General features: G+C 46.9%; 1 annotated feature.

Annotated features, from left to right (window-relative positions):
- Positions 4674–5266: an enhancer, noted in NCBI's record as "H3K27ac-H3K4me1 hESC enhancer chr5:137581186-137581778 (GRCh37/hg19 assembly coordinates)". NCBI's record gives its function as "activates a minimal SCP1, AML or CMV promoter by ChIP-STARR-seq in primed H9 embryonic stem cells {active_cell/tissue: H9 hESC(primed)}" and the evidence as "EXISTENCE:reporter gene assay evidence [ECO:0000049][PMID:30033119]".

Genomic DNA, 22675 nt, shown 5'->3' with positions numbered 1-22675 from the left:
TTGCACTCGCAAGTGTCCAGACTGTTTCCTGCATGTCTGTGACCTTGAGAATCTATGGGCATGTGTAGTGTTACATAAGTGGGGTCACACACTGGATAGCAAAGTGCAAGACACAGACATCGTTCGGCATCCATGAGTAGAGTTGAGCTATATCATTCTATTTGTCAGCTGCATGACATGAACTTATATGAATGCATATTCATACATGCATAGTTTATTTAACCATCTGTGTTGATGGATATTTTGTTGTCTTCCCATTCTTCTCTGAGCCAAGTTTAAGACAGTGAGGGAGGTGACTGTGGGTAGGATGTACACAAAGCTGCCAGAGTGGTGGGTGGAATCCGTAAGTCTCTCTATATACATTCTTGTATCCCCGTAGCCTGCACAGCCCCAGGAAACGCTCAGCCAAGCTGCCTCCCTGAAAACTCCAGTGGGACACTGAGTTGACCTTCCTCCTTCCTTCTTCCCCTCCCAGGAAGATCTCTGAGCAGTCAAGGCCTCTCCATTTGCCCTGGCTCCGTTAACCTAGGGCTGGGGGTGTGAATGGTACAGTCATTTCTTTTTTTTTTTTTTTTTTTTTTTTTTTTTTTTTTTTTTTGAGACGGAGTTTCGCTCTGTCGCCCAGGCTGGAGTGCAGTGGCGCGATCTCGACTCACTGCAAGCTCCGCCTCCCGGGTTCACGCCATTCTCCTGCCTCAGCCTCCTGTGTAGCTGGGACTACAGGCACGCGCCACCATGCCCGGCTAATTTTTGTATTTTTAGTAGAGACGGGGTTTCACCGTGTTAGCCAGGATGGTCTCGATCTCCTGACCTCGTGATCCGCCCGTCTCGGCCTCCCAAAGTGCTGGGATTACAGGCGTGAGCCACTGCGCCCGGCCCAGTCATTTCTTGCTAAGTACTTGAATTAGACTAATAGGTCATGTTTGCTTTTCTCTGAAGAAGGTCCAAATTTCTGGTAAACAACCACACCACTCTTCCAGCCCAGGGCCCAGAGCCAAGACCCTGGGTCGGGGTGCAGTGGCTGAACTGAAGCTTTTAATGGTGTTATGGCTGTCTGGGATGGTTAATGCCATTAAACTAGCTTCTGGGCAACAATGTGGGAAGGACTTTCGGCAGCAGTGGTAAATGGAGAGTGCTAAATTACGGGTCTCTCCATGGTTGGGGTGGAGCAGACTATCTCCTAAACAACTATCTCCAAATTCACCCAATCATTCATTCACCCAACAAACCTTTAACAAGCACTTGTCTTGTCCCAGGTCTTAAGTATTTTTACAGGAGATAAGATCTGGGCCAGGCATGGTGGCTCATGCCTGTAATCCCAACACTTTGGGAGGCCAAGGCAGGTGGAACACTTAAAGTCAGGAGTTTGAGACCAGCCTGGTCAACAAGGTGAAACCCCGTCTCTATTAAAAATAGAAATATTAGGTGGGTGTGGTGGCGGACACCTGTAATCCCAGCTACTCAGGAGGCTGAGGCAGGGGAATCGCTTGAACCCGGGAGGCGGAGTTTACAGTGAGCCAAGATTGCTCCGTTGCATTCCAGCCTGGGCGACAGAGCGAGACTCCGTCTCAAAAAAAAAAAAAAAAAAGATCTGTCCCTGTCAAGTCATGAGCCATCGTTTTAATGAAGAAGCAGCCCGGGTCTGGCAACTGGACCCTAAGTTTGGGCTGTTGGGATTCTTCAGTTAGCCTGGCTGATTATCACACTCAGCTATTTAACCTCAGGAAACGTTCACATTTCTGAGCCACTATTTCCTCATCTAAAGTGGGGATGCCAATAGAACACATAACTTAACAAGTTGCAGTCTTTGTTTTGCTTTGTTTTTAGTAAAGCCAATTAATTTCAGCCAAAAGACTAATTGGCAGTATGAAATAATGCTGATATCAGTTGTAATAGTTTGGGTTGGCAATTTTTTGGCTTCCTATTTCTCTAAAAGCTTATAAGCATGAGTCATTTGTGCTTATTTTGATCTCCATTTATATTTAATTTAGATATTAGTAAAAATACTAACTCAGGTTTTTTTTGTTGTTTGTTGGTTTTTCTTTTTGAGACAGAGTTTCACTCTTGTTGCCCAGGCTGGAGTGCAATGGCATGATCTCGGCTCACTGCAACCTCTCCCTCCCGGGTTCAAGCAATTCTCCTGCTTCAGCCTCCCAAGCAGCTGGGACTACAGGCATGCGCCACCATGCCCAGCTAATTTTTGTATTCTTAGTAGAGATGAGGTTTCACCATATTGGCCAGGCTGGTCTCAAACTCGTGACCTTATGATCCACCCACTTCAGCCTCCCAAAGTGCTGGGATTACGGGCGTAAGCCCACTGCGCCCGACTTTTTTTTTTCTTTTTTGACAGTCTTACTGTGTTGCCCAGGTTAGAGTGCAGTGGTATGATCTTGGCTCACTGCAACCTCTGCCTCACAGGTTCAAATTATTCTCCTGCCTCAGCCTCCCAAGTAGCTGGGATTACAGGCACAGGCCACAACACCTGGCTGATTTTTTTGTATTTTTAGTAGAGACGGGGTTTCACCACGTTGGCCACGCTGGTCTCAAACTCCTGACCTCAGGTGATCTGCCCACCTTGGCCTCCCAAAGTGCTGAGATTACAGGCATGAGCCATCTTACCCAGCCAGGTTGTTTTGAAGACTGGAAATTATCATGACACTCAGCGTGGTGCCTGATACAGGATGGCCTTGGCCTCCCAAAGTGCTGAGATTACAGGCATGAGCCATCTTACCCAGCCAGGTTGTTTTGAAGACTGGAAATTATCATGACACTCAGTGTGGTGCCTGATACAGGATGGATACTCAGTAAATAGCAGCTATCATTATTATATACATCTGAGAGGGGACCTGTAGGTACCATGTATTCTGTTCTCTGCCCTGAAACAGTGGTGAGATGATAGGGCTGATTCCCTCTCCAATTGTGGGCTCAATTCTTGGTGACGCTGCCCCTGGGAGACTTTCTATTCAAGGTCTGAACTCCAGGCTAGAAGCTGCAGCTCTGGGTCTATTGTATAGGCCCTGAGGGACTTTGTACAAGTCGTGAAGGCAGACTGAGTCTTTTTTTTTTTTTTTTTTTTTTTTGAGATGGAGTCTCACTCTGTCACCCAGGCTGGAGTGCAGTGGTGCGATCTCGGCTCACTGCAACCTCCACCTCCCAGGTTCACGCCATTCTCCTGCCTCAGCCTCCCTAATAGCTGGGACTACAGGCACCCGCCACCATGCCCGGCTAATTTTTTGTATTTTTAGTAGAGATGGGGTTTCACCGTGTTAACCAGGATGGTCTTGATCTCCTGACCTCATGACCCACCCGCCTTGGCCTCCCAAAGTGCTGGGATTACAGGTGTAAGCCACCGTACCTGGCCTTTTTTTTTTTTTTTTTAATAGAGACAGGGTCTCACTGTCTAAAGCCAGATGGGATTGCCCAGGCTGGACTCGAACCCTGGGCCACCACACCTGGCTAATTGTTGTATTTTTAGTAGAGACGAGGTTTCGCCATGTTGCCCAGGCTGGTCTCGAACTTCTGGGCTTAGGCAAATTCACCTGCCTCAGCCTCCTGAAGTGCTGGGATTATAGGCGTGAGCCACCACGCCCAGCTGGGATCTCTTGTTCTTAGAAACTTCAGCCTCTTTTTAGCATCTCCACTTCTTTCTGGAGAAAGCCCTCTCATATCTAGAACCTGAGAGACCTGATTCAATAAAATTACACCTTCAGATATTGAGCTAGTTAAGGCCTTATCTGAGATACTGTGGGTGGGTGTGGAGGTGGAAGAGAGACAGAGACAATAATAATAATAGCTAACATGAGAGCTTAATGTGTACAAGGCACCATGCTAATGGCTTAATGAGCGTTATCTCATTTAATTTTCATAACTATCCTATTTTATTTTCCCGGTTTTACAGTGAGGCTTAGTGAGGCCAAGCAAGGTGATAGGGCTAACAAGCAGCTGATCCAGGAATGAAACTTCAATTTCCCTGACTCCTGAGCACAATCTCTGATCCACGTTGCATTTGTCCAATGTTAGGTGAGACCCCATATCCTAAATAACAACAGAAGCCAGGATAAGGGCTGTGGGGTCAGAGGGAGCTCTTTCAGACTGCAGGGATGGTTTCCTGGAAGAGAAGTTATTTGGATTAGGCCTTGAAGAATGAGTAGAGTTTATTAGGCAGAAATTGGGGGAGGGCACCTCAGAGATCAGAGTGAGCAAACACAGGGACTGGAAAGGGCAGTGTTGCAGGGAGAACAAGTAGTCGGCTGTGACTGAAGTTCTCTCTCTTTTTTTTTTTTTTTTGACATAGAGTCTCGCTCTGTCACCCAGGTTGGAGTGCAATGGCATGATCTCAGCTCACTGCAATCTCTGCCTCCTGGGTTCAAGTGATTCTCCTGCCTCAACCTCTGAAGTAGCTGGGACTACAGGCGTTTGCCATGACGCTGGCCAATTTTTGAATTTTTATTAGAGATGGGGTTTCACCATGTTGGCCAAGCTGGTCTCGAACTCCTGACCTCAAGTGATCCAACCAGCTTGGCCTCCCAAAGTGTTGAGATTACAGGCGTGAGCCACTGTACCCAGCCAGCTGTAACTGGAGTTCTGTGAGCGGAGGTACTCCCAGGTCTTCTTGTCATTCATCTTCCCACCCTGCTGTCCTGGGGGAGAGTTAACCTTTGAGTACACACCCAACTACAGGGCTGCTGGTGTGCAAGCCAGGCCCTGTGGAACAGGCAGAAGTCCCAGGGAGCTGGTGTGCAGAATTCTGGCTTGGCATGCTTGATGTCCCTGGCCATCCGTGGCCCCTTCACCCCTTAGTGACATCCCAGGGCAGAGGTCAGTCTGTGTGGGTGAGAGGATGAAGTGAGCCTGTGTCTGGGCTGGGAACAGTGACAAGCAGGATGTGAGAGCCCATCCCCCACAGAAGAATGCCTGCAAATAGCCCCTCCCTAGTGCTGACCCTGCTCCCAGTTGCTGTGGTCAGCTGAAGTGTTAGGGCATTTGTTTCTGGTCTTCCCAGACTTTGGTTGGCTTTTGGTTTCTTCCTGCTGAGCACCTACTGTTGGCTGAGTAGGGCAGAAGACAGGTTGGCACAGAGATGAAGACAAGTTTTGTCGTAGAGATGGATAAACAAATAATAGTGAGAGACATCATTATTTGAGTACTTGGTAGCTATAAAATACTGTGCTAAGAGCTTTACACGTGTATCCTTTCAAAAGATGAGCCTTCCAGCCTGGGCAACATAGTGAGACCTTGTCCCTGCAAAAAATACAAAAATTAGCCAGACGTGGTGGCCTGTGCCTGTGGTCCCAGCCACCCAGCTACTTGAGAGTTTGAGATGGGAGGATTGCTTGAGTCAGGGAGGTAGAGGCTGCAGTGAGCCCTGATTATGCCACTGGACTCTAGCCAGGGTGACAGAGTGAGATGCCATCTCAAAAAATTAAAAGCTGAGCCTCTTCACGGTCTTGTCTCCACATGGTATCAATCTGGCATCCATAATATTTGAAAAAAATATTTGAATAATGGTTGCACATTCTTTTGAAAAATATACACAGCAAAACTTAAAATCCTCTTTTCCTGAGGCCGGAGGATTGCATGAGGCTGGGAGTTTGACACCAGCCCAGGCAACATATTGAGACCCTGTCTCTACAAAAAAATTTAAAAATTAGCCAGGAGGCTGAATGTGGTGGCTCACGCCTATAATCCCAGCACTTTGGAGGCCAAGGTAGGTGGATCATGAGGTCAGGAGTTCGAGACTAGCCTGGCCAATATGGTGAAACCCCATCTCTACTTAAAAATACAAAAATTAGCCAGGCGTGGTGGTGCACACCTGTAGTCCCAGCTACTCAAGAGGCTGAGGCAGGAGAATCGCTTGAACCCGGGAGGTGGAGGTTGCAGTGAGCTGAGATGCACCACTGCACTCCAGCCTGGGCAACAGAGTGAGACTCCATCTCAAAAAAAAAAAAAAAAAAAAAAAAAAAACCAAAAACAAAGAACTAGCCAGGAATGGTGGTAGTAGTCCTAGCTACTTAGGAGGCTAGGTGGGAGGACAGCCTGAGCTCAAGAGTTTGAGGCTTCAGTGAGCCATGATGGGGCAACTGTATCTCAGCCTGGGCGACAGAGCAAGACTGTCTCAAAAACAACAACAACAACAACAACAAAACAAAACAAAAACAAAACAAAAAACACTTTTCCATCTGTCTCTATTGTATACACAAAGCAGCCCCTCATCACATCCCTTTCTTCCCTTCCAAGCTCCCCCAGAGGAGAAATTAAGGCCATGAATATATATAGATAACATTTTTTCTTTACTCATACCTAATCCAATTTAAACTTCTTCACAGCCCTGTGAAGGGAGGCACTATTGTTTCCATTTTAGTTGGAGAAACAGATGTTTAGAGGTTAAATCTTGACCAAGCTCACAAAGCTAATCATTGGCAGGTGGATTTGAAGCAGGTTCTGTGCCTACTGTGAAGTACTTATGTGATCCAGGGGCTCTGAGACCCCTGAGAAGGGGCCAAGTAATTCAGCATGGGGGGATCATTTAGGCTTCATGGAGGAAGAAATACTGGAGTCGGGCATCAAAGGATGAGGAAAAGCTCTCAATAGGCAGAGATGGGCGATATGTTTCTCAGGAAGGGTGGGAGGGAGGCCCAAGGGATAAGCATATCAGATAGTGGGATGTCAGAGAGGAGTGATCTCAGCACTACCCCACACAACGGGGTGAGCCTGACACTTAGGAGACTTGCCTCATTTCCCAACTTTGCCCCAGGGAGATTCTGCCTGTGCCCTTTTAACAGCCTCCATCACAAAGCCTCCTTGTGTCTTCTGAAAGAGACATTTTGACTCAGGCTGGCTCCCCTCCATAGGGGAAGAGAGGGAGGTCTGTGGTGAAGGAGCCCAGCAATGAACTCCCCAACAAAATACCATATGCTCAATTCCTCAGGAATTACATGTCAAGATTGTCTTAGGGAATGCAGCCCTCTAGCTGGTCAAAGAAAGCATATTGTAGTCTAAAGGACACAATGGAAAGCAGATCCAGCTTGATCTGCATTTGAGTCTCAGCAAAACCATCAGCTGGGTGAATTCAGGCAAGCTGCTTAATCTTGCTGAGCTTCAGTCTTTGGATCTAAAAAATGATGAGCCTTTTTGCTAAAGAGTGGTGCCTCATGGGTTTGTCAGAGAGGAAGAGGAAATGGCTGGCTGGGGGATATATTAATCTAATATTTTCTTCAGTGCTGGGTGTTAGGGACTTGTCAAATCTGGATTTCTCGGGTAGGAAGTAGACAGTATGTGAGCTCAGGAACTTGGGTGGAAAGGTGACTCCCAGCAAGCAAAGGGAAAAAGAAGAGGTGGTGGGTGAAGCATGGAGAGAGAGTTTCCAGTCCTGAAGTCTTAGTACCATGAGGGAACAATTCCATGAACCTCTTTGAGCCTCAGTTTCTTCACCTTCAAATGCCAATTCAGCTTCATGAATAGTGGCAGGACACTTGAATTGCTATTTCATCTATTTTATTTATTTATTGAGACAGAGTCTCACTCAGTTGCCCAGGCTGGAGTGCAGTGGCGCTATCTCAGCTCACTGCAACCTCCGCCACCCAGGTTCAAGTGATTCTAGTGCTTCCCCCTCCCAAGTAGCTGGGATTACAGGCAGACGCTACCAGGCCCAGTTAATTTTTGTATTTTTAGTAGAAACGGGGTTTTGCCATGTTGGCCGGGCTGGCCTCAAATTCCTGGCCTCAGGTGGTCCACTGGCCTCGGCCTCCCAAAGTGCTGGGATTACAGGTGTGAGCCACTGTGCCTGGCAAAGTGTTTGTATTTTACAAATGAAATTGAGGTTAAGTCCTGACCTGGTTCCAGCATATAGCGCGCGTGTGTGTGTGTGTGTGTGTGTGTGTGTGTGTGTGTAAGAGATAAATGATCCTTTAAATTACACAAAATTTGGGACTCCTGTGTTTGAATTGGCAAGAGACCAAGCCCACTGCCTCTGCTTTCTCTGCTGCCCAAGTAATTAGAAAACCTGGCCACTTGACTGAACTGGCCATCCAGAAAAAGGGAGGCAAAGGAGAATAAACACAAATTAGTATTTCCGTAAATTAGCCTGACATACTAAAATTTATTGAGTGCTCATTATCTGCCAGGTACTCTGCTAAGCACTTTGCATGTAATAGCTTTAGTAGGGTCTAAATTACACGTTGGAGGGTAGCCTAGGGCTTAACAGTACAAACTTGGAGTCCCAGGCTGCTTAGGAGGGTGGGAGTCCCGCCTCCCCCAGTAGCTTGCTGCACATTCGTGGTTATTGCCGAAGTCCCTCCACCTCTCCAAGCCCCAATTTCCACTCTCTGCCTCTTGGGTCGTTGTAATGAAACAGTAAGCTACAGTATGTTAAGTGGCAAAGAGGTAAACAACAACAATATAAATAACGGCAAATGTTTATTGAGCTGATATGGATGGCAGGGGCATCCCGATCCTGAAACACTATCCTCTCCCCTCCACCACGGCAGCCGGACCCTGAGTTGAGTCCAGGCGGAGCCGCTGCGCCCCAGCCCCGCACCGGCGCGGGCGGAACTGCGTGGGGGAAGCTGTGGGCGGCGTGCGGCGGAGGCGCGCCGCCTAATGCAGTTGTCAGTTAATTAGGGGAGAAGGTTATGTCATTAACGGCAGGATCGATGCAAAGGGAATTAAGAGGCTCGGGCAGCGCCTCCGCGCGCACTCTGCGCGGGCCGAACTCCACAAAAATTCGATACGCATTAGCCGACTATCAGCGGCCGCCCGGGGCACGGGGCTGGCCGAGCGCCGGAGCTGGGCCCAGGGCGGGAGTCCGGTGCCGGACGGGCGCCCCTGCCTGGGCAGCCCTGGAGTCCTTGCTGGGCGAGGTCCCGGCTTGACTGCGGGAGGCCCTCGGAGGCGCGAGCATCGCGGCCTGGCTTAGGGTAGGCCAGGGGCGCGATGCCGACGGCTGGGTTAACGTTTAAACATTCCAAAGAGTCCCTGGTGCTGTTCCCAGCGCTCTCGGCCCAGGCTGTACAACACGCTCAGCCAGCTCATGCTGCAGGTCCAGCCGAAGTCACAGGGAAGCCGCCCTGACCTCCCTAGACCAGGCCAGACCACCGTGTCACCCACCCTCACAGCACTTCATGGCATTTATCACAGTGACACTATAAAGTGATCTATAGAAGGTTCTCTACAGTATCTTTATCCCGTCCAGACTGTAAACCCCAGAAGAGCGGGACTTAGTGGATCTGCCTTGTGTACCTGCACCCAAAGTGCCTGGAAGATGCAAGTGCTCAGTACATATCTGCCCAAGGAATGAATCCCCTTAGCAGCCCAGGGAGTTGGTAGGGTGGGGAAACTGAGACTCAGAGAAATGACTTGCCCAAGATCACACTGATCTCCCAGCTTCCCATGCTTTTTCCTTGCACAGATTAATGTGTCTGAACCTTGGTTTTCCCATCTAGGGGAAAGTTAGTTGTAGCTGCCTCCATACTAGGTGCCAGGAACTGTGCTAACATTTTACTTACATTTACTCATTTAATTCTCACAACAACCCTGTGAGATAGAAATCGTGTTATAAAGGAGGAACTTGAAACTAGCAAGAGCTGGGCTCATCATTTGTCTGTTTGCCTTCAGATCCATTGCTCTCCTTCTAATACTCTGTGTCACATGTGGGCTACCCCTACACTCCATCCCCATCCCATCCCCAGGCAGGCTGCATTTCCCAGGCTCCCTTGTCAGCTGGCTTTTGGCTGGGTTTGGACAACGGGAGCCACAGGCACAGACTGAGGGTGGGAGGACAGGAGAAGCTAGGAGACCCACAGCCTTGGCAGCTTCTGGCTCCATCTCCTTCATCTGGCCCCACACTAGGGATGGTAGTGGTTTCCTGTTCTTGCTAATCTCTGGGTTGCCCCCGTTTCCCCTGTTTGGCTTCTCAGTTCTTCCATCACTTACATAGCCACAGTATTAAATTCTCACTGTTTGAAATAGTTAGTGAGTTCATTTTCCTGATTACCCAAAGAGTCATGATTTGTATCCAGATCTGTCTGACCACAAAATCTACATGCTTAAAGTTTCTCATGCTTAAAGTTTATCTCAGAGGACAGTAGGACAAAGCAGTAAAAAAAATGATAACCACGAACCACGCTGCCCAGAAAACTCTTCCTAGGTAGCTTCTGTAGGAGAAATTCATTTTAAATATAATGGCTCACCCATAAAGCCTATTTATAATTTATTATGTTTTTAAAGTTCTACTTTCCATAGCTAAAATATTGTTTACACCTGTAAATGAAGGTAATCATAGCATCTACCTGGTAGAGATGCTATGAAGACAAAATCAGCTAATCTATGCCAAACACCTGCATGAGGTAGCTGTTCACTGACAATTCCTTCCCTGATTCCTTTAAAACCTGGGGAAATTTTATTGCCTTCAGTCTTCTCAGCTCGAGAATCCTGGAGCGTGGAGGATGGCAGCTCTGCCTTTCATTTCTTTTTTTTTTTTTTTTTTAGATGGACTTTTGCTCTTGTTGCCCAGGCTGGAGTGCAATGGCGCGATCTCGGCTCACCGCAACCTCCGCCTCCCAGGTTCAAGCGATTCTCCTGCCTCAGCCTCCCGAGTAGCTGGGATTACAGGCATGCACCACCATGCCTGGCTAATTTTTTTTTTATTTTATTTTTAGTAGAGACCGGGTTTCTCCATGTTGGTCAGGCTGGTCTCGAACTCCTGACCTCAGGTGATCCACCCACCTGGGCCTCCCAAAGTTCTGGGATTACAGGCATGAGCCACCGCACCCAGCCTCTGCCTTTCATTTCTAAGTGTTCTCCTTATTGCATTGTAGATTCACCTTGCTCATTGGACCCATGAATGGGAAGTAGTAATCAGATGGCCAGCCTGACAGCTGCAATACACAGAAGATGTGTGCAATGAATGTTAGATCTGACTGAATGCTCCCAAATCAACTGGACTGCCCCCAGAGACTTGGCTGGCAATGAATGAGAGTGTGAGGTGCTTTTGACACATGCATTCAAGGCCTGATTTGAGCAAAGATGTCTGCTTGACAGTCCCGAGGGCAATTTTCTCCTGATTGATTTGCAACTTTCCATCTTAATGGAAAATAAGCCAAGCGTAAAGGAGGTAGTTTTCTCCCTGAACCAGAAATCCTTGCTTTGCTTTCCTTTCTGAACTTGGGGGTTACCATTTCTTATTACCTGAAAAGGGGTTACAGAGACCAAAGTTTGCTGGGAGAAGGTGCAAAGGTGGAGGAGTTACGGATAGGAGCTCAACTCACACAATCCCCAATGACTTGGGAGAACCTGAAGACTAGAGAATCTGTGGAGGTCAAGAAACTGTCCTTGATGAATGAACAACTGCAGATAACAGATTAGGTCTTTAGCTATCACAGCCTAGAGTCTGGGGCTGGGAGTCCCACCTGTGCCCTGGGACAAGGTTTTTCATTTGAGCCTACCCTGCTGCAGGTTGCTGTGGGCTCATATGAGTCACTGATGTCAATGCAATTTAAAGAAGTTTGTAGACCACACAAATATATTTGACATTATGGTTTTAAACTAGTTTGGCAGCTCTTTACCACAATAGTATAAGCCTCCTACCCCTAGAGCTTAATAGCACAGGGTTTGGAGCAAACAGACCCAGGTTCCAATCTCAGCTCACTGCTGACTACTTCTTACTTAACCTTTCTGAACCTGAGGTTCATCAGCGGCCGCCCGGGGCCGCTGATGTAAGTCGTCTGTAAGGCAGGAATAATAGTACCTACTTGGAAGAGTTGTTGTGAAGATTAAATTAGACACTAGAGTAGGAGTTTAAGAAATAGCAATCATTATTGAAATTGTTGGCCAGGCGCAGTAGCTCACACCTGTAATCCCAGCACTTTGGGAGGCTGAGGTGGGCAGATCACCTGAGGTCAGGAGTTCGAGACCAGCCTGGCCAACATGGCGAAACCCCGTCTCTACCAAAAATACAAAAATTAGCCAAGCATGGTGGTGGGTGCCTGTAAACCCAGCTACTCTGGAGGCTGAGGCAGGACAATCGCTTGAATCAGGGAAGCAGAGGTTGTGGTGAGCCAAGACTGCACCACCGCACTCCAGCCTGGGCGACAGAGCAAGACTCTGTCTCAAAAAAAAAAAAAAAAATTAACCAGGTGTGGTGGCACATGCCTGTAATCCCAGCTACTTGGGAGGCTGAGGCAGGAGAATCACTTGAACCTGGGAGGCGGAGGTTGCAGTGAGCTGAGATTGTGTCACTGACTCCAGCCTGGGTTGCAGAGTGAGACTCTGTCTCAAAAAAACAATAATAATAATAAAATAGTTCACAAATTTATCTGCCAACTAATATTTTGGAACAAAATAGGCAATCTAGTCAACTAGGTCATTATATTCTCAGAAACCTCTGGTATAATGCTTTGGTTTGTCACCCAGGGTCCACTTCTCCAGGAACCGTTCTCATTTGTTGTCCCTGCCAAAAAGTTAGACCTGGGGAGCCATGTTTGTAATATATGACCCTGACTTCTTGGCCACTATTGATTGGACCAAGGGTGAATACTTAACCTAAGCTGGACAAACAATATTCCTCTCCTGGGAGCTGAACCAGTCAACTGTGGTGAGTCACATAGACTCCAGAACTAATACTGCCATTTTGGTGCACACAGTTGATGGACAAGGTGAGGAAACTGATATGGAAAGGTGCAGAGAGAAATGCAAGTGAGAGACCATCTAGCTTTGACCTCTCTGAAGATACAGAAATGGTCCTGTTCCTGATTATTTTTCAGTTCTAAGAGGCCTAACTATGCTAATTTCCTGTCCTTGGAGTCTATGTAGTCTGCATCCAGCCACTAGTGTCCACCTTTTCCTGTGCTAGCATGAGTGCCTTTGCAAGCAAAAGAGACAAGACTAGAATAGGGGCAGTGGTTTGACCCTTTATGTGGTTAAAAAAAAATGCTGCTGCTTCTTCTTCTTCTTTTTTTTTTTGAGACAGAATTTCGCTCTTGTTGCCCAGGCTGGAGTGCAATGACACGATCTCGGCTCACCACAACCTCCTGCCTCCTGGGTTCAAGCAATTCTCCCGCCTCAGCCTCCCAAGTAGCTGGGATTACAGGCATGCACGACCACGCCTGGTTAATTTTGTATTTTTAGTAGAGATGGGGTTTCTCCATGTTGGTCAGGCTGGTCTCGAACTCCCAACCTCAGGTGATCTGCCCGCCTCAGCCTCCCAAAGTGCTGGGATTACAGGTGTGAGCCACTGTGCCTAGCAAAAAAATGCTTCTTAAATTTTTTTTTTCTTTTTTTTGGCCAGGTGCAGTGGCTCACATTTGTAATCCTAGCACTTTGGGAGGCCAAGGCGGGTGGATCACCTGAGGCCAGGAATTTGAGACTAGCCCGGCCAAGAAACCCTGTCTCTACTAAAAGTACAAAAAAATTAGCCAGGTGTGGTGGCGGGTGCCTGTAATCCCAGCTACTTGGGAGGCTGAGGCACGAGAACCGCTTGAACCCAGGAGGCAGAGGCTGCAGTGAGCTGAGATCATGCCACTGCACTCCAGCCTGGGTGACAGAGTGAGACTCCATCTCAAAAACAAAAAACAAAACCAACTTTTTTGTTTGTTTGTTTGAGTCAGGGTCTCACTATATTTAATAGCCCAGACTGTTCTCAAACCTGAGCTCCTGCCTCTGCCTCCCAAGTAGTTGGGATTACAGGTGTGCACCACTGCACCAGACCTAAAAATGCTTCTTAAATAACTCAGTTGGTCTTCTTTGAAATGAGCTTATATACCGAAAACATCCCTTACTTCAGTAAATTGATAAATTGATGAGACCAATTATTAAGCAAAGTGTTGAACAAAAACTAGTTGAGAAACCTTTTTCATTTCATGTTTTCCTGGATAATTTGTCATTATAATGGAAGTCCCAAAGTGTTTGATTTGTAACAGCACCTGGAAGTTCTCAAAAAGTTGCATTACATGGTCATGTAATTTCTAAAATGATGCTGAGGACCTAGGGATGGATGGGGTTGGAAGATTTATGCTGAAATTACTCCAAATTTAAAAACAAACAGCCAAGCACAGTGGCTCATGCCTCTAATCCCAGCACTTTAGGAGTCCAAGGTGGGTGGATCACCTGAGCCCAGGAGTTGGAGACCAGCTTGGATCTTGGACAACATGGCGAAACCCTTTCTCTACCCAAAATACAAAATATTAGCCAGGTGTGATGGCATGTGCCTGTAGTCCCAGCTGCCCAGGAGGCTGAGGTGGGAGGATCACCAGAGCCTGGGGAGGATGAGACTGCAGTGAGCTATGATCATGCCACTGCACTCCAGCCTCGACGACAGAGTGAAACTGTCTCAAAAATAAAATAAAAAATAAAAACAAGCTGGTCAGGTGCAGTGGTTCATGCCTATAATCCCAGCACTTTGGGAGGCCGAGGCGGGCAGATTATTTGAGGTCAGGAGTTTGAGACCAGCCTGGCCAACATGGTGAAACCCCATCTCTACTAAAAAATACAAAAAATTAGCCTGGCATGGTGGTGTGCACCTATAATCCCAGCTACTCGGGAGGCTGAGGCAGGAGAATCACTTGAACCCGAGAGGCAGAGGTTACAGTGAGCCAAGATTGTGCCACTGCACTCCAGCCTAGGCAACAGAGTGAGGCTCCATCTCAACAAACAAACAAACTAGGGACAAGGGGGAAAAAGCTATCTCTCTGAGAGTCTATGATTGTAAATCTCAATTTTTTTATCATGCGGTTGATCTGAGTATTAAATAAAATAGTGCGTGTAAAGTTCTTTGCCCAGCACCTGGATGTAGTCTGTAAATGTTTTATTAGTTACTATGACCAGGAAAATGTGACAAAGTTTGCTGCTGAAGCTGAATATTTATTTATTTATTTTTGAGACAGAGTCTCGCTCTGTCACCCAGGCTGGAGTGCAGTGGTGCGATCTCAGCTCACTGCAAGCTCCGCCTCCCGGGTTCACGCCATTCTCCTGCCTCAGCCTCCCGAGTAGCTGGGACTACAGGTGCCTGCCACCACGCCCAGCTAATTTTTTCTATTTTTTCATAGAGACAGGGTTTCACCGTGTTCGCCAGGATGGTCTCGATCTCCTGACCTCGTGATCCGCCTGCCTCGGCCTCCCAAAGTGCTGGGATTACAGGCTTGAGCCACCACGCCCAGCTGAAGCTGAATGTTTTTTAAATGCTCAAATTTAAATTAAAGTAAATGCTCTGACATTGACTTGACTAGCTTCTTGAGGATAGAGACTGTGTCTTGGCCACTTATGGTTTTCTTAAAGCTTAGTGCCATTGTAAATTATCAACAAATAATTTTTTGAATAAATGTTGAGCTCTCAATATGTTTATCACAGGACTTAAAAGCATTTTGAAAGCTTTGGAAAGGCTGGACATGATAGATGCCTGTAATCCCAGCACTTTGAGAGGCCAAAGAAGGTAGATTGCTTGAGCCCAGGAGTTCAAGACCAGCCTGGTCAACACAGCAAGACCCTGTCTTTACAAAAAAAAACACCTTTTTTAAATTAGCCAGGCATAGTAGTGCATGCCCAGAGTCCCAGCTACTTGTAAGGCTGAGGTGAGAGGATTGCCTGGGCCCAGGAGTTCAAGGTTGCAGTGAACTATGATCATGCCAGTGCTCTCCAGCTTTGGCAATAGAGCACGACCCCATCTCTAACAAAACAAAACAAAATAAAACAAAACAGAAAAACCCAGAAAGTGATGGAAAGTAAAATGGTAATTTTTTGAGAAGGATGGAGTGGAGGGGTTCATGGACATAGAAACTCAACATGGCCACAGGAAGAAATATCTTTGGATTCTAAATTTTTTTTGTTTTTGAGATGGAGTCTCACTCTGTCCCCAAGGCTGGAGTGCAGTGGCACTATCTTGGCTCACTGCAGCCTCCGTTGGCTCACTGCAGCCTCCGCCTCCTGGGCTCAAACAAATACTCCCACCTCAGCCTCCTGAGTAGCTAGGATTACAGGTGCCTGCCACCATGCCTGGATATTTGTGTGTGTGTGTGTGTGTGTGTGTGTGTGTGTATTTTTTTAGTAGAGATGGGGTTTCACAAAGTTAGCCAGGCTGGTCTTGGACTCCTGACCTCAAGTGATCCATCCTCACTGACCTCCCACAGTGCTGAGATTATAGGCATGAACAACCACACCTGGCCTGAATTCTAATTTTTTTAAAGTTTAATATTATGAGCTTAGTCAGGAAGCCCTGAAGTATTATGGGTTGAATTGTGTCCCCCCAAAAAATTCATATATGGAAGTATTAATACCCAGTACTTCAGAATGTGACCTTATTTGGAAATAGTCATTGCAGATGTAATTAGTTAAGATGGGCTGGGCACAGTGGCTCATGCCTATAATCCCAGCACTTTGGGAGGCTGAGGCGGGAGAATCACTTGAGTCCAGGAGATTGAGACCAGTCTGGGTAACATGGTGAAACCCTGTCTCTACAAAACATGAAAAATTAGCTGGGCATTGCTGGTCGTGGTGGCTCACGCCTGTAATCCCAGCACTTTGGGAGACCGAGGTGGGCAGATCACGAGGTTAAGGGATCAAGATCATCCTGGCCAAGATGGTGAAACCCCATCTCTACTAAAAATACAACAATTAGCTGGGTGTGGTGGTGCGTGCCTGTAATCCCAGCTACCTAGGAGGCTGAGGCAGGAGAATCGCTTGAACAGAGGAGGCAGAGGTTGCAGTGAGCTGAGATCGCACCACTGCACTCCAGCCTGGCGACAGAGCGAGACTCTGTCTCAAAAAAAAAAAAAAAAAAAAAAAAAAAAAAAAAAAAAAAGAAAAGAAAAGAAAAGAAAAAAGAAAAAAAAAAAGAAAAGAAAAATTTAGCTGGGCATGGTGGCATGTGCTTGTAGTCCCAGCTACTTGGAAGGCTGAGGATGGCTTGAGTTGGGGGAGGCAGCAGTTGCAGTGAGCTGAGATTGCACCACTGCACTCCAGCCTGGGTGACAGAGCCAGAATCTGCCTCAAAAACAGAAACCCAATAATAGTAATTAGTTAAGATGAGGTTCATACTGGAGTAGGGTAGACTGCTAATTCAATAAAACTGGCATCCTTATAAAAAAAAAAAGGAGGGGGAGAATGGGACACACACACACACACACACACACACAGAATGTTATGTGAAGATTAAGGCAGATGTCATGGTGGTGCTTCTATAAGCCAAGGATTGCCAGCAAACTGTGAGAAGCAAGGGGAGAGGCATGGAACAGATTCTCCCTCACAGCCCTCAGAAGGAAGCAACCGTGTTGCCACCTTGATTTTGGTCTTCCAGCCTCCAGAACTGTGAGACAATAAATTTCTGCTGTTTCGCCACCTAGTTTGTTGTACTGTCATGGCAGCCTTAGCAAACTAATACATGAAACAAACAAATCTAAAAATGCTCTCCTTCTGGCTCTCCCAGTGGTCATTCATGCCCAAGCCCAGATATTCACATCTATAAGTGCTTGCATCCAACCATTTCTATTTTAACAGCTCCCACCAATTATCCTTCCAAGAGTGGGTAGAACAATGTGGAAAGCCCTTCACCTATCAGTTCCAACAAGCACAGTAGCTTTAAGTCCAATCGACTACAACCATGTAATTAAAAATAATTCCTGCTTATGTCTGAAGAACTTTAAATAAAGTTTGGAATTATTTAGCTGTTTCACCCTAACTTTATTTATTTATTTATATTTTATTTTATTTTATTTTATTTTTTGAGATGGAGTCTTGCTCTGTCGCCCAGGCTGGAGTGCAGTGGCACATCTCGGCTCACTGCAAGCTCCGCCTCCCGGGTTCACGCCATTCTCCTGCCTCAGCCTCCCGAGTAGCTGGGACTACAGGTGCCCACCACCATGCCCGGCTAATTTTTTGTATATTTAGTAGAGACAGGGTTTCACCGTGTTAGCCAGGATGGTCTCGATCTCCTAACCTCATGATCCTCCCACCTTGGCATCCCAAAGTGCTGGGATTACAGGCGTGAGCCACTGTGCCTGGCCATTTATTTTTTTTATATGGAGTCTTACTCTGTCACCCAGGCTAGAGTACAGTGGCATGATCTTGGCTCATTGCAACCTCCACTTTCCAGGCTCACGTGATTCTCCCACCTCAGCCTCGTGAGAAGCTGAGATTACAGGTGTGTGCTACCACGCCCAGCTAATTTTTGTATTTTTAGTAGAGACAGGGTTTTACCATGTTGGCTAGGCTGGTCTTGAACTCCTGACCTCAAGTGATGCCCCCAGCCTCAGCCTCCCAAAGGGCTGGGATTATGGGCATGAGCCACCACAACTGGTCATTAGTGTTATTTTAATATGTAATAGTAATTGCGATACATTGGTTATTATGGGTCAGGGACTTTACTAAACACTTTTTTCTTTTTTTGACAGAGTTTCACTCTTGTTGCCCAAGCTGGAGTGCAATGGTGCAATCTCAGCTTACTGCAACCTCTGCCTCCCGGGTTCAAGCAATTCTCTTGCCTCAGCCTCCCGAGTAGCTGGGATTACAGGCATGTGTCACCACGCCCGGCTAATTTTGTATTTTTTTAGTAGAGACAGGGTTTCTCCACGTTGGTCAGGCTGGTCTCGAACTCCTGCTCTTGTTGCCCAAGCTGGAGTGCAATGGTGCGAGCTCAGCTTACTGTAACCTCTGCCTCCTGGGTTCAAGCGATTCTCTTGCCTCAGCCTCCCAAGTAGCTGGGATTACAGGCATGTGTCACCACACCCGGCTAATTTTGCATTTTTTTAGTAGAGACGGGGTTTCTCCATGTTGGTCAGGCTGGTCTCAAACTCCCGACCTCAGGTGATCCACCCGCCTCGGCCTCCCAAAGTGCTGAGATTACAGGCGTGAGCCATCTCACCGGCTGCTAAGCACTTCACACACATCATTTCTTTAATCAACCCTATGAGATAAGAACTGTTATTATTTAAATTTCATAGATGAAGAAACTGAGACTCAGAGAATTAGCTTGTGTATAAAGGCACAGCTAGTTGATAATGGAGATCCTAGTCTGCCTGAGCCCAGAGTCCATGTTCTTTGTTACTAAGCTCTTCTGCCTCCTGAGAGGGTACTGCGCCTAATGCAGAGAAAGCTCATGGAATATTAGATTCCTCCCCTTGTCTGACTTAGTCTTGTTGTAATTGACATAAAAGCTCCTGTACATTCTGCCTGCATTTTCCAGCTCAAGATGAAAGAAAAGTGACTGGCACATAGTAAGTGCTCAGTAAGTGTTAGCTGTTATTACTATTAATATTGCATTGTATATGTTCCTGTCTGGCAAGGGATGTGAATTCCCAGACTATTGCTAACAGTGGGTACTTAGAATGAACAAGACCAGTGGGGTAGGAGCCTGCAAAGAAAAGTTGATCTAGGAAAAAATGAGAAGTAAGGGAGGAGAGGTTTGGGCTGGGGGAGGGGGAATGAGAAAGAGAAAGCAATTGGCAGAAGGCCAGACTCCACTTTGCCTTTGGTGTGGCTGCCCCTGGGAATTGGGAGGAGTGGGGTGGATGGCCCCTCTACTCCTAATTGGTCAGGTCACCTTGCTTTATCCTTTATTTCCTCCCTTTTGGGGTGATGGGGTGGCTGCAGCTTGTGGTTACATAAAGCTTTCTGGAATTCTTCCAGGAAGAAGGGAAGCGTGTGAGGTCCTGGCAAACAAAGATTCAGGAGTTGAGCAGTGTGTGAGCCATAGCAATTGTGTACCGGCAATCAGCACCACGGTAAGGCTGGAGGGCAGTGGAAAGAGGCCGGCTTAGGTATAAATTCCGGCTCTCCCACTTTAGCGATTGCGTGACCTTGGCCAGGTAACTTACCTATCTGAGTCTGATTTCCTCTTTTGTAATAAGATTGATAAATGGCACATGCTCTACAGGCATTTTGTCAGATAATGCATTTAAGTGCTTAGCATAATGCCTAATAAATAATAGCCATTATTATTGTTATTATTTTAAGTGTTATTAGGGTTTGATGTCCTCTCTGCCTGAATGTGTGGAATCCCTAGGCTCCTCCTCCCGCTTCTGTTACCTTAGTCCTGAAAATTTGAGTCAAATGCCCCTTGATATTTTCACTTTATTCTAGACCTTCCAGTGGGGTCATGCTTTCTGGGACCTCTGGGAAATCCCAGGACAGTGGAAAGCATCCTTCCATGACTCTGGGATGATCCTTTTTTTCCACAGCCTAGGAAGGGCTGATAAAAGCCTTATCTGAGTGACATTCCATTATGGGATTAAATCAGACTTGCTCTAGGGCCTTCTGGCTGCCACCCCAGGCTGGATGCTGGCAGCTTCTGGTTATTGCCTTTGGCCCAATCTGAGGTCATCACACTTCTTTGGGCCCAAGGGGCCTTCAGAGGCAGGAGCTGGGGAGAGGCTCTGGCAGTCACTGGGATTAGTTTCAATTAGCAAGCTCTGACTAAGCATGGAAGTCCACAGCCAGGCACACACTAGGTACCATAAGAAGGCCCAGATATCTACCCAGTCAGCTCCTATCTGAGGCAGCAAATGACAGGCTCCATGAAGGCAGTCCACAGGGATGTGAAAGATCAGTAAATAGAGAGTTAATGGGGCAAAGGAATAACTGTGTGGTTAATTTCAGGGTAGCTGCTGAATTTCTCTGAGCCTCAGTTTCTTCATCTATGAGCTTGGAACATTAACATTTATTACAAAGTGTTAATTTAAATGAAAATGTGCTGGCTAAAACAACAAAGTTTTAGAGATAAACCTGGCTTGACCACCTACTGGCTTTGTGCCATTGCTGATAACTCTTTTTTTTTTTTTTCCTGAGACAGAGTCTCGCTCTGTCGCCCAGGCTGGAGTGCAGTGGCACAATCTCGGCTCACTGTAACCTCCGTCTCCCGGGTTCAAGTGATTCTCCTGCCTCAGCCTCCTGAGTAGCTGGGATTACAGGTGCACGTCAGCGAGCCCAGCTAATTTTTGTATTTTTAGTAGAGGCGAGGTTTCACCGTGTTGGCCAGGCTGGTCTTGAACTTCTGGCCTCAAGTGATCTGCCCCCCACTTGGCCTCCCAAAGTGTTGAGATTATAGGCATGAGCCACCGCATCTGGCCTGTTGTTAACTTCTCAAATCCTCAGTTTCCTGATGTATGAAAAGGAGGAAATAATATTTCCCTCCCTCCCGGTGTTGTTGTAAGGGTTAGAGAAACCAGGCATGTAAAGCAGTTAGTGCTTACCTGCACGTGCACGCACATTCCTAACGTTGCTTAATAAATGGGAACTCCAGCTACTTGGGATGCTGAGGCTGGAGGCTTGCTTGAGCCCAGGAATCAGAGGCTGCAGTGAGCTTTGATTGCGCCTCTGCACTCCAGCCTGGATGACAAAGTGAGCCTCTGTCTCTAAAAAATAAAAAAAAAATGGGAACTCATGATTTTTCTTCTTAGGGCAGTATGGATGAGGTGGTCATCTGCCATTGACTGACTCCTCAGGAAGGTCAGGAAGCCACGGTCAGTATGATATTACCATTGTGGAGATGTGTTTATAGGACCTGGGTCAGCCCGGGATCAGGCTCAGCTTGGAGGGCAGAACAGGAGGGAGGGAAAAAGAGGGGCCTGGACGTAGTAGCTCACGTCTGTAATCCCAGAACTTTGGGAGGCTGAAGCAGGCAGATCACTTGAGGTCAGGAGTTCAAGACCAGCCTGGCCAATGTGGTGAAACCCTGTCTCTACTAAAAATACAAAAATTAGCCAGGTGTGCTGTCGGGCGCCTGTAATCCCAGCTACTTGGGAGGCTGAGGCAGGAGAATCACTTGAACCCAGGAGATGGAGGTTGCAGTGAGCTGAGATGGTGCCATTGCACTCCAGCCTGGGCAACCGGAGAGAAACTCCATCTCAAAAAAACAAAAACAAAAAAAAAACCTGCCTAATAAACTTTTACAATTCATTTATACATTTTTCCCCTATATTTTAGGCTGCATTTTTTTTTTAATTTGAACTCTTTCACTTTACCAACACTGGCTTACAAGGGCTTCCTTTTGGCTGAGTGTGGTGGCTCATGCCTGTAGTCCCAGCACTTTGGAAGGCCAAGGCGATGGCTCACCTGAGGCCAGGAGTTTGAGACCAGCCTGGGCAACATGGTGAAACCCCATCTCTATTAAAAATACAAAAAATAGCTGGGCGCCTGTAATTCCAGCTACTTGGGTGGCTGAGGCATGAGAATCACTTGAACCCAAGAGGCAGAGGCTGCAGTGAGCCAAGATCGTGCCACTGCACTCCAGTCTGGGCCACAGAGCAAGATTCTGTCTCAAAACAAACAAACAAACAAGCAAACACACACACACACACACACACACACAAAATAAAAGAGCTTTTATCTTTTTTTTTTGGTCAAGGTGTAAGATACATACAGTAAGATGTGAAAAGTACAGTGATCTTACATGTATACTTCAATTTTTTTTTACATATATGCACAACCATATAATCACCCAAAGCAAGATATATAACATTTTCCTTTTTTTTTTTTTTTTTTGAAGAGACAGGGTCAAGGCCAGCCGTGGTGGCTCACGCCTGTAATCCCAGCACTTTGGGAGGCTGAGGTGGGTGGATCACCTGAGGTCAGGAGTTGGAGACCAGCCTGGCCAACATGGTGAAACTCTGTCTCTACTAAAAGTACAAAAAATTAGCTGGGCGTGGCGGCGCACACCTGTAATCCCAGCTACTCAGGAGGCTGAGGCAGGAGAATT

This window comes from Homo sapiens, chromosome 5 (assembly GCF_000001405.40).
Source record: "Homo sapiens chromosome 5, GRCh38.p14 Primary Assembly".
Lineage (NCBI taxonomy): Eukaryota > Metazoa > Chordata > Mammalia > Primates > Hominidae > Homo > Homo sapiens.
This window is presented reverse-complemented; position numbering and strand designations above follow the sequence as displayed.